Source organism: Homo sapiens, chromosome 15 (assembly GCF_000001405.40).
Source record: "Homo sapiens chromosome 15, GRCh38.p14 Primary Assembly".
Classification (NCBI taxonomy): domain Eukaryota; kingdom Metazoa; phylum Chordata; class Mammalia; order Primates; family Hominidae; genus Homo; species Homo sapiens.
The window spans coordinates 86573911-86593398 of record NC_000015.10 but is presented as its reverse complement, the minus strand read 5'-3'; the positions used below and the strand labels follow the sequence as shown (position 1 = coordinate 86593398).

Genomic DNA, 19488 nt, shown 5'->3' with positions numbered 1-19488 from the left:
TCCTATCTCCTAGGTCTGTCTGATGAGACACATCAGTAGCAAGGAGCACACCAGATCCACAGATCTTGGTTTCTAAGTTCTTTTCTCAAAAAAAAAAAAAAATCTAAGGTTCCTTGGGACAAGAGCTGATTCCACAAGTTGGACAGAGAAAGTACAAGGTTAGTAAGAAACATTTTGTGGTGCCAAGAACTAAAAAAGTGCTCACAGAATAAGGACATGTCAAAAGGAAAAAGCAGCAGCATGAAGGGCCTCCCTGTGACCACACTGGGGCAACTTGAACAATAAAATAAATAATGACACTGGTAGACTATAACCCATTGATGAATCCATGAATCCGTACTGCAGAGAGAGAGCAAGAGAGAGGATAGAGATAAAGGGAGAGGTTTTCCCTTGTCATAGAATGATAACTAGTAAATATGAAGTAACGATGAAGTTAGAAAATCCCAAGGGGATGTTAAACCAGTGGTTTTGTTAGAGCAGGTAGCTAGGCAGATATAAGCAGGGCAGGAGATGGTCCCGCACCCCAGGAATGTCAAGCAACCATTGGGTGTTGGTCTGGCATGTGTTATACTGTCTCTCTAAAATAATAATTAGTTACAGCTGACACCAGGGAAAGGCAGTTTCCCAAGATAGAAAACACGTGAAGCTGGTGATCAGCAGCATTCTGATAAGATCTCAGAAGCTGGGTGAGTGGGCTCAAGCATGTCTACTAAGAGACAAAATGGCAAAGTTTAACTGTTATGCGACCTTCCTCTAAGAACACTCAACTGGTAAGGGAAAAACGCTTCTAATGAGCATGGCACAACTTCAGTAAACACACTGCACACACGGCCCCTCCCAAGTGCTGGCAGGCCACTGTGCATGCGCACAGTGCACCCCAAGGGAAAAATCAAGGGAAGAGAAATGGAAACTCTGGAACCATGCCAATGTACAAAACAAGTTAAGGGCCAAACAGCACACTTGGATCTCTCAAGTCTCTTGCTTGGCCTTCTTCATTTCATTCCTGCTCTAAAACTTTTTAAATAAACTTTCACTCCTGCTCTAAAACTTGCCTTGGTCTCTCCCTCTGCCTTATGCCCCTTGGCTGAATTCGTTTTTTTCTGAGGAGGCAAGAATCGAGTTTGCTGCAGACCCGTTGGATTCGCTGCTGCTAACAGTTTGATAAGAAATAGGACATTTACGTGGCCCCAGAGTATTTCCCCAAAGGAAAATGACTCATTACAATGGGAGAAAACAGTAACTTTACAGTTGAGAAACCTGGCAGACAACACTTTAACCAAGTGATCAAATTTAACATCACCAATATTGGGATGACCAACACTATGTACCTCCTGATATGATGCATTGAGGTGGGTCTATATTACTTCTGTGGTATTGTGATATTGTAAAATATATATTTGGTCCTTGACCTCATTTCCTGGTATATAACTTCTAAAATCCTTAGAATCTCCACAGTGATGTTTTGTATGTTAATTATTGACTGGTGACTGGCAGCCCCTAGGTAGCTTCAGGATGGCAGCTGGTCACCCGAAAGACCAAGATACAATTAGGGGGTTGGGATCTTCAACTCCACTCCTAACTTTTAGGGAGAGGAGAGGGGCTAAAGGTTAAACTAATCAACAGTGACTAATGGTTTAATCAATTGTGCCAATGTAATGAAGCCTCCATAAAAACCCAAGAGGATAGGATTTGGGGAGCTTCTAGATAGCTGAACATCTGGAGGTTCCTGGAAGGTGGCCCACCTAGAGAGGGGATGGAAGCTCTGTGCCACTTCCTCCATACTTCACCCTATGCATCTCTTCATCTATATTCTTTGTAATATCTTTTATAATAAACTGGTAAACACAAGTAAGTGTTTCTGTGAGTTCTGTGAGCCAATTTAGCAAGTTAACTGAATTTAAAGAGGTAATCATGGGAACCCCAACTTCAAGCCAGTGGGTCAGAAGTTCCGGAAGCCTGAACTTGTGACTGGTGTCTGGAAGTGCCAAGGGCATTCCTGGGGACTGAGCCCTTGATCTGTGGCATCTGGCACTATCTGTAGGTAGATAGCATCAGAACTGAATTGAATTAGAGGACATCCAGCAGGTGTCCAGTGGTTGGTGTGTGTGGAAAAACCCTTACTCATGTAATCACAGAAGTATTGCATTGATTGTTGTGTTGGGAAAGAGAATAGGAAAAAGCTCTGAGTTTGTATTTTTTCTCCTCAGAGGTACACTTACCAAAGATGCATAAAATGAATCTAACAATGAGAAAACAATCACACAAATTGAGGGACACCTTTAAGCGTCAAGGTTAAGAGAGATAAATCATGAGTAAGTATTCTAGATTAAGTAAACTAGAGAGCGAACTAAACTTAAAGTGGAATCTCAGACTGGATTCAGGACAAGGAAAACACAGCTATAACGTACATTATTGGGACAACTGAGAAAAGTTGAACACAAACTCTGGATTAGACAATCATACTGTATCAATGTATATTTTCTCATTTGGTCATTTCATTGTAGTGTGTGAGGAAAATAAAAGTGTTTTACACCAGAATATATTTCTTTGACATATTTTGAGATGGCTGTCAGAGAGCCAGCAAATAAAAGTAGCTCTGCAAAGCTGTCTTTCCTGGGAGAAATTTACATCATCTGTAGGGAACCTGCATTTATACTGCCAGGCCTTCTCCCTTGTCTGGATCCAAGAAAGACTAACTGAGAGTCTGACACCTTTAAAGGTCTCAAGGAAACATTTACTATCTATTGTCTCTGAGGGTTGCTACCTGTGAGGTTTCATCTACATAACAAGACCCCCTTTGCAAACTGTATTAGTCTGTTCTCACACTGCTAATAAAGACATACCAGAGACCGGGTAATTTATAAAGAAAAGAAGTTTCATTGACTCACAGTTTAGCATGGCTGAGGAGGCCTCAGGAAACTTACAATCATGGCTGAAGCAGAAGCAAACAGGTCCTTCTTCACATAGTGGCAGGACAGAGAAGAACAAGAGTGAAGTGGGGAAAAGCCCCCATATAAAACCATCAGATCTTGTGAGAACTCACTCTCATGAAAACAGCATGAGGGTAACCACCCCCATGACTCAATTACCTCCCACAGGGTGTCTTCCATGACACATGGAGATTATGGGAACTATAATTCAAGGTGAGATTGGGTGGGGACACAGATAAACCATATCACAAACCAAGTCTCCTCTTCTCTCCCTCCCATAATGTGTTTTACCAATACAACCTATTTTTGGCCATTGTCCGAGCTCCCATTCTGTGTGTAGCCTCAAGATGGTAAATAAGCTTTTGCAGCCCACTGGGGAGGCCAATCACTCTGTGGTTCTCCCTGTGCACACAGTAATAAACTGGATTCCTTTTATCTTATGAGTCTGCCTTTTGTGAGTTAATTGTTCAACAAACCCTCTGAGGGCAAAAGGAAGTTTTCCCTTTGCCCCTACATATGTAAGAGAATATGTAGAGAATATATTTTACTGTAGCTATACAAGATAGCTAAAACCTTGTTTTTAGGAAATGCATACAGAAATATACACTAAAAGGACATGATGTCTCCAAACTACTCTCAGATGATTACAAAAAATATGTGTGGACAGATAGAGAAATGATAGATTAGATAAAGAAGTAGACTAATAGATAGGATGGGAGGGAGGGAGGAAAGGAGGAGGAAGGAAGGGAAGGAGGAAAATTATAAAACAAATGGGGCAAAATGCAAACCATTTGGCAAATCCAAGTGAAGAAAGCAAAGATCAACTGGTGATCATCAAGCAAGCCATCCGGAGGCAAAACTTTTTATCTGAGGAATTTGAAGTAATTGGACTTCCCTTCTATCTAAAATAGGCATCTGGTTCCAGGCTTCTCTACCCAAAGTTTATAAGTAATTAGAATTTCTATACATCTCCAGAATGCATGCATATCGAATCTTATTGTGCAACCCTTGCTGCCATTAAGGCACAAAATGTCTACAAATTTAACCATTTATCATGGGCTATGTGACTAACATGATCCAAATTACCCTTAAGGTCCCACTTTAAGTTCCATAAATACCCCTAAGCAAAAATTCCTCATGGGGTGGTCAGCCCTCTCTTGCTGAGATGCCCCACTGCACTCTTCTGCAGTATACTTTCTATCTATAATAATAAAAATTTCCTTTTCAAACCTATAGAGTTATCAGTAAATTCTTACCAACCTGTGAGTTGATCACTTTCTGATGCCGGGGCTCTGACATCTCATCCGGCACTAAGTAATGAGTACTTCATTCTGTTCTAAAATGATACCCAAAAACAGACTTCAAATCAACCATCGTAAGTTATTCATATTTAAAAAAAATTGTTGTCCTTCTGTGTCCATGCACACAGTGTATATATACATATATATATATATGAAGATTCTGAAAAGATACACATAAAAAATAAAAATTGTGAAAGATACATGAACGGGAAATGTTTAATATTCTTTAGATCTTTTATGATCAGCATATTCTCAGTCTTCTCAATAAACATTGATAACACGTATTTGCCATCAAAGAAATAATAAAGGCTTAACACAATTCAAAAGACACTTGCTTCAGTTTCCTCTGAGGAAGAGTCACTATCAATAAATATGGGTTTCTGTTCAGTTCTTGCTGCCTCCTCATAGGGTCAGGTTTAATTCTTCCCCAAGAGGGAGACTAAAAACAAAGCTTAGTCATGCTGCAAACAGAAGATTCCGGAGTCAAACTCTGCTTCAGAGGTGAGCCTGCTGTGCTCCATCACAGAGGCCCTGACACACACTCCAGGGGTTGGATTTGATCAGGTTGTGGTTGCCGTGGTGTCTGACTTCAGGCAAATGAGTTCTATCTGCATATGAGCTTCAGCCTTATGAAAAATGTTGAAAAGCCACATCCCACAGATCCCAGCACTCCCTGCAGCTACTTCTCCCTTGCAGGACACAGCAGGCAGGCCAGTCCTCAATGGTTACTGCTGCAAGTTTTCTTCTGGTAGGGGCAGGAGTGGGGAGGCATATCTCGTTGTTTAGGACAGTAGAATTACTACTGGCTGAATCCTCTCAGTCAGTGATAACTGGAGGAGATCAACTGTGTAAGAGGGTCTTTGATAAGACCTGTAGGTGATCAAGGCTCTCTAAATATAACTTCTTTATTCACATTCACATTTATTCACACTGTGTAGAGTAGCCAACCCAGGCTCATCCTGATTTCAAATATCATAATATTGTATTAACGAAGGTATAATGCAGAATTTTAAAATTCTCTTCATGAACTTTATTCTTAAACCCACAGGTAATTTTCTAACTGTGCAATTAAACATAAGCATTACTTATACCTTTACATAAGTTTATATTTAGAATAATGAAGAATAGTGCCAGCAGATATGTTAGTTATTAGTAATCCTTTCCATGTACATGCATACATATACAAAGCAGTTACTTTTTCAGAGACAGGTTGGGGTCTAAAAGACAAGTCTGGGTTCATAGTGAGTCGTTGGAGCCTGGGGAAGAACTAGAAGCTTCCTACTGTGATATGATACTTGCTTTGTGATTTTGATCCTAATGGTTCTCACCCCTGGATGTAACACAGCCCAGCAGCTGTTGTGTGATTACTACGTGGGTTCTCATGGCAGCATCTTCCCTGTCTTGGTCACTTTCTGCGGTTGCATGTGGGTACTCTGACTTTAATCAAAACTTATTTTTTCTGTCTTCTGAGTTTCTCTAAATTGCTGTACTTTTAAAGAAAATATATACTAAAAGGTACACACCCTCACTGCTCTAAACTGAATGACAACTGAACATTTCCTGCAGCAAACCCAGTGCCACTTGGCCTTTATGCCTTTGCTTATACTGCTCCTTCTTCCACGAACGCCCTCCTCCCACTTGCTTCCTATAGAATTAGACCCACTTTCCCAAACCGTAGCCAACACAAGCCCCTCCATGAAGCCTTTTTAACAACCCCCAAGCAACCAAATATAATCTCATCTTTCTCCAAACACTGAAACGGTGCTGCCACAGGTGAGCTCGGATTCCATCTGCCTTGCTGCACAATTGCTTAGTACTGCATATCCTTGCAGCACTCTGAGAGGAGGCCAAGGAGCATAGAGGTCAGAGGAAAAAGAGACAGCAACCCAACTTAGTTTGAATCCCTGATTCCTCACTTCATTTCTGATTTTAGATAAAGTATTCATCCTGTCCGTGCCTCAGTTTCCTCATCTGTAGAAGGAAGATAAAAACAATGCCTGCTCATAAGCTCATGGTGGGAGTAAGCTAAGACCATGACTGCAGTGTGCTCAGGGAAGCAGAATAATTTAGCAGTAAGGAGAGAAGCCTCAGTTGCAAATCTGATGGGTTCTAGTCCGAACTCTTTAAAGGTACTGAGGAATGGACTCTGACCTTTTTACTTCCTCATATGCCTTTCTAAGGGGCCTGGGGAGTCATGCCTCACAAACCCTTAAAGCTCATTAAACAGGTCTTTTTTGACCCAGTATATTGTGGCCTACTTTTCAACCAGACTCTAACATGGCATCACATGACAAATAACAGACCCCCCCTTAACTTAAGCATTCCTTTCTATTGACCCCAAGTTTTTAAACAAAGCTTAACTCTTTCAACCAAGTGCCAAATAAATAACTCCTAAACCTTCCTATGACTTATAAGCTCCCACTTCGAGATGGCCTGCCTTTTCAGACCAAACTATTGTATACCTCCCAGGAATTTATTTATGATTTTACCTGCAATTCTTATCTTCCTGAAATGTATTAAACCAAACTGTAACCCGACTGCTTTAGGTGCACTTTCTCAGGACCTCTTGAGACTGTTTTCCTGGGCTGCTGTCACTTACATTGGCTCCGAATAAAACACTTTATATATTTTAACAGAATTTCGGTTTTCTGCCATCATTACGCTCTGTGTGACCTTGGACATGTTACTCGACTATTCTCTGCCCTAATTTTCTCATCCTAAAAGGTATATGATAAAAATAGCAACTACCTCATAGGTTTACATTGATAGTAAATACAACACATGCAAACATAAGAACACATAGTAAGTTCTAATAAATATTACGATTTATTATAAAAGCCACTCCAAGCAGGTAAACTAATGGCAAACACTTAAATAACATTACTTGTTATCATTCAGTTATGAATGTTTTCAGGTGTCCCTAGTACCTTGTCTAGATAACTTAGAATTACAGGCTAGGAGAGAAAGAGATAGAGACAGAATGAGAGAGTAAGCAAGAGAGAGGGGGATTTATTATTCCTTCCTCTTCTCCTTTCTGACTCAGTTTTAGAAAGCATTATCTCTCAGATGAGAATGTTCTTGCCTGTGAAGCTGAATCTGAATTCATGGTTCTATTCGGTGCAGAGGCATGCCGACAGGCAGCATGCCTGTGTGTCTAAATAGACACTGAACATCACCAAAGCCCTTGTCATAGTGAAAGCAGTGGAATGTGGAGCATGGCTAGGTATTCTTAATCATTTTCTTCCTGCTTCATCCTCACAGTCTGTCTAGAACTCTGAGCTCCTTGTCTCACCATTGTTATGAATTTGCTAATTATTCCTTTCAATCTACTTTGAATGCAATTCCTGGATTTCACACCTAGTCTCCAGTCTGTGCAACTTAAATAACCAAGTGATGACAGAGAGAGCCTTCCAACAGAAAACAGTTCCTGGACTCCTTGAACCATTTTTTCTCTAACCCTTTGTTTATTTTATGTTTAAAAGGAGTGGTGTCCAAATAGCTCACTCAGGTAAGATGGCTCATACCTTTAATCCCAGTGCTTTGGGAGGCTGAGGCAGGAGGATTGCCTGAGAACAGGAGTTCAAGACCAGCCTGGGAAACATAGTGAAACATATCTCTATAAAAAAATAGAAGTAAAAAATAGCTGGGCATCGTGGCACACACCTGTATTTCCAGCCACTCGGGAGTTCAAGCTTATAATAAGCTATTATCACACCACTGCACTCCAGCCTGGGCAGAGACAGTGAGACCCTGTCTCTAAATAAATAAATACATAAAAAGAAAACAATAAAAGGAGTTCTGTATGTATTTGCACACTTGAAAACTACTGATTTTACCTTCGCTCCTTTTTTACTCTTATCTTTGGCCAGCATTCTATCTTCTGACTCCATCACACTCCAGCCTGCTTCCAATCTCAAAATTCTGGGGCATTTGCACAAATAAAACTTCCAGTTCTGAGGAAGTACTAGCCAGAGCAATCAGGCAAGAGAAAGAAATAAAAGGCATCCAAAAAGGAAAAGAAGAAGTCAAATTATCTCTCTTCATAGACAGCATGATTCTATGTCTAGAAAACCCTAAATACTCCACCAAAACTTCTGGAATTGATAAGCAACTTCAGTAAAGTTTTAGGATACAAAGTCAATGTATAAAAATCAGTAGCATTTCTATACAACAGTAACATTCAAGCTGAGAGCCAAATCAAGAACACAATCCCATTTACAATAGTCACACAAATAAAATAAAATAACTAGGAATAGATCTAATCAAGGAAGTCAAAGGTCTCTATAAGGAGAACTACAAAACACTGCTGAAAGAAATCACAGATGACACAAACAAATGGGAAAACATTCCATACTCATGGATTGGAAGAATCAATATTGTTAAAATGACCCTGCTGCCCAAAGAAATCAACATATTCTATGCTATTTCTATCAAACTACCAATATCATTTTTCACAGAGCTAGAAAAAAACCTATTCTAAAATTCATATGGAACCAAGAAAGAGCTCAAATAGCCAAGCAATCCTAAGCAAGAAGAACAAAGCCAGAGGAATCACATTATCAGACTTCATACTGTACTGTAAATTTATAGTAACCAAAACAGCATGGTACTGGTACAAACAGATAAATACCAATGGAACAGAATAGAAAACTGAGAATAAAGTCACACACATACATCCATCTGATCTTCAACAAAGTCAACAAAAACAAGCAATGGGGAAAGTACTCCCTTTTCAATAAATGGTGCTGGGCTACCTGGATCGCCACATACAGAAAAATGAAACTAGACCCATACCTTTCCTCATATGCAAAAATTAACTCAAGACGGATTAAAAGATTTAAATGTAACACCTTAAACTAAAAGAATACTAGAATATAATCTAGGAAACATCATTCTGGACATTGACCTTGGGAAAGAATTTATGACCAAGTCCTCAAAAGCAATTGCAACAAAAACAAAAACTGACAAATGGGACCTAATTAAACTGAAGAGCTTCTGCACAGCAAAAGAAACTATCAAAAGAGTCAACAGACAACCTAGGGAATGGCAAAAAGTATTTGCAAACTATGCATCCAACAAAGGTCTAATATCCAGAATTTACAAGGAACTTAATCTAACAAGCAACAAAAAAATAACCCCATTAAAAATGGGTAAAAGACATTAACAGACACTTCTCAAAAGAAGACATACAAGTGGCCAAGAAACATGAAAAAACGTTCCACATCACTAATAATCAGAGAAATGCAAATCAAAACCATAATGAAATACCTTCTCACACCAGTCAGAATAACTATAATTTTAAATGTCAAAAACAACAGATGCTGATGAGGCTGTGGAGAAATGGGAATGCTTATACACTGTTGGTGGGAATGTAAATTAGTTCAGCCACTAGGGAAAGCAGTTTGGAGATTTCTCAAAGAACTTAGAACAGAACTACTGTGTGACCCAGCAATTCCATTACTGGGTACATACTCAAAAGAAAATAAATCCTTCTAAAATGATCAGTCTAAAAGACACATGCAGTTGCACATTCACTGTAGCACGATTCACAATAGAAAAGATATGGAATCAACTTAAGCGCCCATCAGCAGTGGACTGGATAAAGGAAATGTACATATATACACCATTGAATACCACACAGCCATAAAAGATGAAATCATGTCCTCTGTAGCAACATGGATGCAACTGGAGGCCACAATCTTAAGCAAATTAACACAGGAACAGAAAATCAAATATTGCATGTTCTCACTTATAAGTGGGAACTAAACATTGGGTACATATAGATAAAAATATGGCAATAATAGACACTGGAGAGAGGGGTAGGGAGGGGGCAAGGGTTGAGAAACTTAATATGAGGTAGTATGCTAAGTAGGTATATACCTGCTAATTTTAGGTACCAGTACCTTGGTGGCAGGAGGAATTGTACCCCAAACTTCAGCATCACTCAATATACTCAAGTAACAATCCTGCACATGTACTCCCTGACTCTAACATAAAAGTTGAATTTTTTTTTTTAAATTCCAATTCTCATCTCTAAAAATACTTTTCCTCTTAGATAAAATAATAGCTAATCATATTTACATTCCCCAACTAATAATACCATGGTGTTTTTTAAAAAAAAAATTTCAAAAAATATTATAACTTTTTTTTATTGTTATTATACTTTAAGTTTTAGGGTATGTGTGCACAATGTGCAGGTTTGTTACTTATGTATACATGTGCCATGTTGGTGTGCTGCACCCATTAACTCGTCATTTAGCATTAGGTATATCTACTAATGCTATCCCTCCCCCCTCCCCCAACCCCACAACAGTCTCCGGTGTGTGATGTTCCCCTTCCTGTGTCCATGTGTTCTCATTGTTCAATTCCCACCTATGAGTGAGAACATGTGGTGTTTGGTTTTTTGTCCTTGCGATAGTTTGCTGAGAATGATAGTTTCCAGCTTCATCCATGTCCCTACAAAGGACATGAACTCATCCTTTTTCATGGCTGCATAGTATTCCATGGTGTATATGTGCCACATTTTCTTAATCCAGTCTATCATTGTTGGACATTTGGCTTGGTTCCAAGTCTTTGCTATTGTGAATAGTGCCTCAATAAACATACGTGTGCATGTGTCTTTATAGCAGCATGATTTATAACCTTTGGGTATATACGCAGTAATGGGATGGCTGGGTCAAATGCTATTTCTAGTTCTAGATCCCTGAGGAATCACCACACCGACTTCCACAATGGTTGAACTCCCATTGTGTTTATAGCCCCACCAACAGTGTAAATAACTTTTAAACTTCAGGAATTACAAAGGCTAGGGCTTTAAAGATTATATAGACCAGTAAATCTATTTCCCTGACCCTGGCATGTTCAAATACCATTAATGTTGTAGGGTAACTTAGATAACCAAGTCTTTCTTTTGATTTTTCAGCTAAGGAAACCAAGACTCAAAGAGTGAACCTGAGAAACTAAACCTTTGTAACTAAGCAATGGTTCTCAATAATGGGTGATTTTGATCTACAAGGGGACAACTGGCAATGTCTAGATATATTTTTTGGTTGTCATAACTACAGGGGTGTTACCTGCATCTAGTGGGTAAAGGCCAGGGATGCAGCTAAATATCCTACAATGTCAGCCTCTACTACCAAAAATTATCCAGCCCAAAATGTCAAAAGTGCTGAGGTTGAGAAACTTTCCAAGCCAGAGAGATCACCCTTGCTTCAGTAATACTTTTAGGATCTCATGCCTGTCATATATCCATAATTATTACATAAGATCCTCATAATCAAAAGTAAACTCATCTCCCATGTCCTTGATGAAGAGAGGGGTTTGGCTGGTTTCATTTCACCACCTTCCTTGGTAATTTATTTTATATTTCCTGACCGAGACTACAAATGGTCTCATTTTTGTACCTATGTTGAGCCAGTGAGGAAGTAGCTATATCAGAGAGATTTGGGGGAGAGGAAGATTTGATTTCTAGGTAACATTTGGGGGTTGCTCATGACAGCTGTACTCAACCCATTCATGGGTGACTGAAGAGTGCCCGAGGAGTGTTATGACACACAAATTGATTTGTTATGGAAACTGGCAGTGGGTGCCACTGGTAAATGAGATTTCAAATGAATGATAAAATGATGATCCAATTTGGAAGTCAACATAATGGTTTTTGCAATGGCCTCTTTTAGGATATCATTTCATAAGCACTAAACAAAATAAACAACCCATCCTTTGAATTCCTTTCTATGATAATTTATCTGAATGAGAAAACTTATAAGAAATGTTGCCACCAGATCTTGTCATTAGCCAATGGGGGAGGAGGGGAAAGTAAGAAGGGACCTATCAAAATCAAGAGATGACAAATCTTGAGAAAAACGTTTAAGATAAAAGTGGTCATTTTATTCCTAATTTGCCTTCCTTTCTTTTGCCTCTCCATTAAGCTTAAATGTCGTATATATTGTTGAACTAAAAAGCCCAAGTAGAAATACAACTTCTCACGTTGACCATGAGCAAGGAGTCAAGACCACCCAGGCTTTAATTTGTTGAATAATATTTTATAATATCAAGTTCCATAATTTTTCTCCAACACTTTGACTTAGTAACTCCCCTTTTGGAACTCTCATCTACTAATTCAAAGTATTGGAGTGAGTGAAGGAAAGTTTCCATATGAAGATCTTATTTCTAGGGCTGCACAATACAGCAAAAATTTGGATGCAACCAAAATGTCTAACAGTTGTAAGTAAATTTTACTGTAGTTAATGTAATGTTGGAACAAAATACAAATATTAGAAGCATGAAGGCTTCAAAGCAATGTGGAAAATTCTTATCATATTAATTAAAAATAAGTGGTTCCAAAATTATAGCTAGATAGGAGGACTAAGTTCTAGTGTTCCATAGCACTATAGGGTGAATATAGTTAACAAAAATTTCTTGTATATGTTTAAAAGCAGTAAGAGAGGATTATGAATGTTCTCAACAAAAAAATGATAAATGTTTGGGGTGATGAATGCCCTAATTACCCTAACTTGATCATTATACATTGTATACATGTATCCAAATATCACTCTGTACTCAGTTAAATATGTACAATTATTATGTCAACTAAAAACAAAAGGAAAAAAATTAATGATCCATAAATGTATGTACAGACTGAGTACTAGTCTAGAAAAATATGCATGTAACAAAGTCTAGAAAAAAATACCAAAATAACAAAAACAATGATAAAAATAAATTCATACATTTATGGTCCATATTGCTTGTTTTACCCTGGGCTTGTCTATAACATAGTTAGAAATATATATATATGTATACATAGTTAAGTTGACTCAGACTCCCTTTTTTCAGCCAAAAGTATACTTTCAATACTAAAAGTACAAATCTGCATTTATAGCAAGTTAGTAGTAACAAGGAAAACTATAGTCAGAATTTTGGAGTGCACAGAAGAATAAGCATTATAATTTAAATTAGGCTGCAACATGGATAAGGTCAGCTGTGTTGAAGCAGTAATGAGTATATGTTAGAAAGTCCCTCCTACGGTTAACTCAGCAATTTCACATTCTCTTCCATTAATGGTCTGATTATATACTCAAGAATTTCACAGAAGAAATTGGCCATGGACTTTATCTATCAAGCCAAACACAGCTTCTTTTCTTCCTTAACATCAAAAGAAATTGGTAGTTCCCCTGCCTATGCTTCACTTTCTGATGCATATAATCATCCAAACATCCCACAAGACAGTTTTCCTTCTTACATTCCCAGTATCAAATACAGTCCAGAAACCTGGGAGTCATCATAGGCTTTTCCCACTTCTTCCTCCCTCACCACCTCAACCAACCAATTATCCAGTCCGGTCAATTGCACCTCCTGAATATCTCTTCATGTGTCTATCTTGTTTTCTGCCCTCCCTCCAACCATGGGCTTCACAAAAGCCTTCTGACTGGTCTCCCTGCCCCAAGTCCCATTCAACATTCACATGTTAAAAGACAGCTGTGATCCCATTACTCCTCTTTTTAAATCTTATCAATGGATTCTTACTGTGTCTGAAATAAACTCCATCCCCTTAGGATGGCTCATAAGGCTCTTTTTTTCTGACCATTGCTTACTTCTGCTACAATTCCCCAATAAGTGCCCAAAAATCAAGTTACATTTTTGCATGGAACACATTTTTCTCAGTGCATTGAGACTTACGTGGAGAAAGTAGAAATATCAGCTTCCTCATTTTAGTCACTATGATAATTTTAACATAATCTAATATCACATTCACGTTTTTAACAGTCATAATTCACATTTAATTCATATTACATTAAAAGTAAAATCTCTAAATATTTGTTATAAATCTTGCAGTTCAGTGATGCCTTTTTGTTTTAACCAAATTCAAGACTTCCCAATTAGCCATTTTAAGTTCCTCTTTTGAGATTTTGCCCAGGATTCCATTTTGCTAAGATCTTTTTAGACACAAAATTTGCAACGTAATGCAATAACTGCTTGTCCCAGCTTTTTGACATCTGAAAATTTCATCAATATAAGACAAAGCAGTATAATTGAAGAACACTACTGACTACTTGTCAAGCATTTAGGACGCCACTGAAATATTTTTCATCTAGGTTTTCACATCTAGGCTTTTACAAAAGTCTTTTGTTATACCCTAGGCTGGGTATAACAATATGCAAGCAAGATGAAAGGATTATGATGATGGTGAAAATGAGGATTAGCTAGTATTTTGTGTCAGACACTGCTAAATTAAGTTTAGCCTAAAGCTGCCTGTATTAGTCCGTTTTCATGCTGCTGATAAAGACATACCCGAGACTGAGCAATTTCAAAAGAAAGAGGTTTGTTGGACTTACAGTTCCACATGGCTGGGAGGCTTCACAGTCATGGTGAAAGGCAAGGAGCCGCAAGTCACGTCTTACATGGATGGCAAGAGGCAAAAAGAGAGAGCTCGTGTAGGGACACCCCCTTATAATAACCATCAGATCTCATGAGACTTACTCACTATCACAAGAACAGCACAGGAAAACCTGCCCCCACAATTCAATTACCTCCCACTGGGTCCCTTCCAAAACATGTGGGAATTCAACATGAGATATGCATGGGGATACAGCCAAACCATATCATTCCACACTTGGCCCCTCCCAAATCTCATGTCCTCACATTTCAAAACCAATCATGCCTTCCTAACAGTCCCCCAAAGTCTTAACTCATTTCTGCATTAACTCAAAAGTCCACAGTCCGAAGTCTCATCTGAGACAAGGCAAGTCCCTTCTGGCTATGAGCCAGTAAAATCAAAAGCAAGTTAGTTACCTCCTAGATATAATGGGGATACAGGCATTGGGTAAATATAGCCATTCTAAATGGGAGAAATTGGCCAAAATGAAGGGGCTACATCCCCCATGCAAGTCTGAAATCCAGCAGAGCAGTCAAATCTTAAAGTTCCAAAATGATCTCCTTTGACTCCATGTCTCACATCCACATCATGCTGATGCAAGAGGTGCGTTTCCATGGTCTTGGGCAGCTCTGCACTTACGGCTCTGCAGGGTACAGCCTCCCTTCTGGCTGCTTTCACAGGCTGGTGTTGAGTGTCTGTGGCTTTTCCAGGCACACGGTGCAAGCTGTCAGTGGATCTACCATTCTGGGGTCTGGAGGACGGTGGCCCTCTTCTCACAGCTTTACTAGGCAGTGCCCCAGTAGGGACTCTGTGTGGGGGTTCCAACCCAACATTTCCCTTCCACACTACCCTAGCAGAAGTTTTCCATGAGAGCCCTGCCCCTGCAGCAAACTTCTACCTGGGCATCCAGGCATTTCCATACATCTTCTGAAATCTAGGCGGAGGTTCCCAAACCCCCAGTTCTTGACTTCTGTGCACTCACAGGCTCAACACCACGTGGAAGCTGCCAAGGCTTGGGGCTTGCACCCTCTGAAGCCATGGCCCGAGCTCTATGTTGGCCCCTTTCAGCCACAGCTGGAGTGACTGGGACACAGGGCACCACGTCCATAGCTACACACAGCACGGGGACCCTGGGCCCACCTGGTCCATTAAACCACTTTTTCCCCTCAGATCTCCAGGCCAATGACAGGAGAGGCTACCATGACAACCTCTGACATGCCCTGGAGACATTTTCCCCATTGTCTTGGGGATTAACATTTGGTTCCTTGTTACTTATGCAAATTTCTTCAGCTGTCTTGAATTTCACCTCAGAAAATAAGATTTTCTTTTCTATCACATTGTCAGGCTGAAAATTTTCCAAATTTTTATGCTCTGTTTCCCTTTTAAAACTGAATGTCTTTAACAGCACCCAAGTCACCTCTTGAATGCTTTGCTGCTTGGAAATTTCTTCCACCACATACCCTAAATTACCTCTCTCAAGTTGAAAGTTCCACAAATCACTAGGGCAGGGGAAAAATGCCACCAGTCTCTTCGCTAAAACATAACAAGAGTCACTTTTGCTCCAGTTCACAACAAGGTCCTCATCTCCATGTGAGACCACCTTAACCTGGACTTCATTGTCCATATCACTATAAGCATTTGGGCAAACCTATTCAACAAGTCCATAGGAAGTTCCATAGTTTCCCACATTTTCCTGTCTTCTTCTGAACCCTCCAAAATGTTCCAACCCCTGCCTGTTACCCAGTTCCAAAGTCACTTCCACATTTTTGGGTATCTTTTCAGCAGAATCCTATTCCTGGTACCAATCTACTGTACAATTTCATGCTGCTGATTAAGACATATCCAAGACTGGGCAATTTACAAAAGAAAGAGGTTTATTGGACTTACGGTTACCACATGGCTGAGGAGGCTTTACAACCATGGTGGAAAGCAAGGAGCAGCAAGTCATGTCATACATGGATGGCAGCAGGCAAAAAGAGAGAGGGCTTGTGCAAGGAAACTCCTCCTTACGATAACCATCAGATCTCATAAGACTTACTCACTATCACAAGAACAGCATGGGACAAACCTGTCCCTATGATTCAATTACCTTCTATCAAGTCCCTCCCACAACACATGGGAATTCAAGGTGAGATTTGGGTGAGGACACAGCCAAACTATATCACTGCCTCCTTAGGTATTTCAAGTGCAGCCTAAAGACCTCTTTGTATATAGTGAACTGTAACCTAACTGGATGTGTAAAGAGACTGTAACTTACTCTTGTGTCAGTCACTTTGGCTGGTTTCGGCCAATCAAAGGCAGCCAACTGTTCAAACCATGTTCAAATAAGGCAAACACCAAGCTATAACCAATCCAGCTGTTTCTGTACCTCACTTCCATTTTCTGTACATCTCCTTTTTCTGTCCATAATTTTTTTTTCAGTGACAGTGCCTGTGCTGAAGTCTCTCCGAATCCATTCTGGTTTGGAGGCTGCCCAATTCCCAAATCGTTTTTCTCTCAATTAAATTTTACTAAATTTAATTTGTCTGATGTTTTTCTTTTAACAACACTCTAAGTGCTTTATATACATGTACTCTGCAGGAGGTACAATCATTAGCCCCCTTTTCTTTCTGATGACTACACTAAAAATTTTAAAAGCATAAATAATTTACCCAAAGTGCAGTCAATAAATGATGGAGTTAGCATGCAGAAATGCTAAAGTCCATGTAAATATTAATTATCTTCTTCCTTCTGAGTCATCCAATGTTCAGACAATTGTTTATTTCACTAATTTTCTACTTATGGGAGTTAAGCTTGTTTGCACATTGTTATCACTAACAAGCAATGACTTTCTTGTATATGTATGTTTGTGTAGTTCTGGAATTAAATTTCTGGAAGATTTCAGAGTCAAAGGTCATGAAGGCCCATCATGGTGGCTCAAGACGTAATCCAAGCAATTTGAGAGGCCAAGGTGGGAGGACTGCTTGAGCTGAAGAGTTTGAGATCAGCCTAGGCAACATACCAAGACCCTGTCTCTATAGAAATTTTTTTTTCAATAAATAAGCCAGATGTGGTGGTGTGTACCTGTAGGCCCAGTCGCTTAGAAGGCTGAGGCAGGAGGATCACTTGAGCCCAGGAAGTCAAGACTGCAGTGAGCCATGATTTGTACTACTACACTCCAGCCTGGGTGACAGAGAGAGATCTTGTCTCTAAAAATAATTTTTTTTTAAGTTCATGAATTTTAAAATTTGAATATGGCTAGTTTGTGCTTTAGCTTTTATTTTCAAATTTTTATTTATTTATTTACTTATTTTTTTGAGACAGGGTCTTTCTCTGTTACCCAAACTGGACTACAATGGCACAAACATGGCTCACTGCAGCCTCAACTTCCCAGGCTCAAGTGATCCTCCTGCCTCAGCCTCCCTTGTAGCCAAAACCTCAGGTGGGTCCAACCACACCTAGCTAATTTTTTGATTTTTTGATAGAGACAAGGTCTCACTATGTTGCCCAGGCTGGTCCTGACTTCCTAGGCTCAAGCGAACCTCCTGCCTCAGCCTCCCAAAGTGTTGAAATTACAGACATGCACCACCACACCCAGCCCATGTGCAATAACTTTTTTCTTTCTTTTGAGACAGAGTCTCCCTCTGTCACCCAGGCAGGAGTGCAGTGGTGTGATCTTGGCTCACGGTCACCTCCACCTCCCAGGTTCAAGCGATTCTCCTGCCTCAGCCTCCCAAGTAGCTGGGACTGCAGGCACCTGCCACCATGCCCAGCTAATTTTTGTATTTTTAGTAGAGATGGGGTTTCACCATATTGGTTAGGCTGGTCTCAAACTCCTGACCCTCTGATTCACCTGCCTCAGCCTCCCAAAGTGCTGGGATTACAGGTGTGAGTCACCACGCCCAGCCATGCAATCACTTTTATAATTAAAAACATTAGGGCCAGGTGCAGTGGCTCACATCTATAATCCCAGCACTTTGGGAGGCCAAGGACGGTAGGTCACTTGAGGTCAGGAGTTCGAGACCAGCCTGGCCAACATGGTGAAACCCCGTCTCTACTAAAAATACAAAAATTAGCTAGGAGTGGTGGTGCTTGCCTGTAGTCCCAGGTACTCAGGAGACTGAGGCAGAAGAATCGCTTGAACCTGGGAGGTGGAGATTGCAGTAAGCCGAGATCACACCATCGCACTCCAGCCTGGGTGACAAGAGCTAAACCTCATCACAAAAAAAAAAAAAAAAAAAAAAAATTAAAACTTTTAAGAATTGTATAGAACATATGTTATGTATCTCCTTAGATTCCTTCAGATATGTCAGCTCCTGGATCCCCAGTTGTGAACTTTGCCTTAGGTGCCACCAGTTCTTGTTGGGCCCTTGTTGCACCCCTTGGGACTGACCAGTCAAATTCCTAAAAGGACCTTCTTCTTTGCTGCTACTAGAGAGCAAAGCCAACCATCCTTCCACCTCAAGTTTCTGGCTTCTCCCACCATTTCTGGACTTGGATGAGTGGCTGCAGAAGGGACCAGATGGTGCAACCTGAACATGTCAGTTTAACCTTCTGGGTACACACTTGGACTAACAGGAAACAGGAAGGTAGGGTGGTGCACAGCATGCAGATAAATGCTCTCGCCTTCCTTTTCAACTATGTACAGCCTATCCAGCAATAGCCCACATAGCTGAGTGGACCTCCTTGACTGCTTTGACCATTGCAGCAATGCAACACTCTGCATTCCTTTCCATTGCCCTGTCTCTCACTTTTATGGTTTTTTTTTGTTTGTTTGTTTATTTGTTTGGTCGCTGGTAGTTTTCTGGCTTATCTGAGAAAATAAAGTTTATGAAAATGTTTTGTAAACTATACATCATTTTGAAAAGGGAAAGTATTTTTATTATTGTGATTTTTGTTGTTTTCA

At 39.9% G+C, this 19488-nt stretch overlaps 1 protein-coding gene across 5 annotated transcripts in view, besides 1 other annotated feature; it reads right to left on the bottom strand.

Moving 5' to 3' along the window:
* Positions 1–19488, bottom strand: part of AGBL1 (AGBL carboxypeptidase 1) — a 951857-nt gene that overhangs the window by 438078 nt on the left and 494291 nt on the right. The window lies entirely within an intron of this gene.
* Positions 2486–3215: an enhancer, noted in NCBI's record as "OCT4-NANOG hESC enhancer chr15:87133415-87134144 (GRCh37/hg19 assembly coordinates)". NCBI's record gives its function as "activates a minimal SCP1, AML or CMV promoter by ChIP-STARR-seq in naive H9 embryonic stem cells {active_cell/tissue: H9 hESC(naive)}" and the evidence as "EXISTENCE:reporter gene assay evidence [ECO:0000049][PMID:30033119]".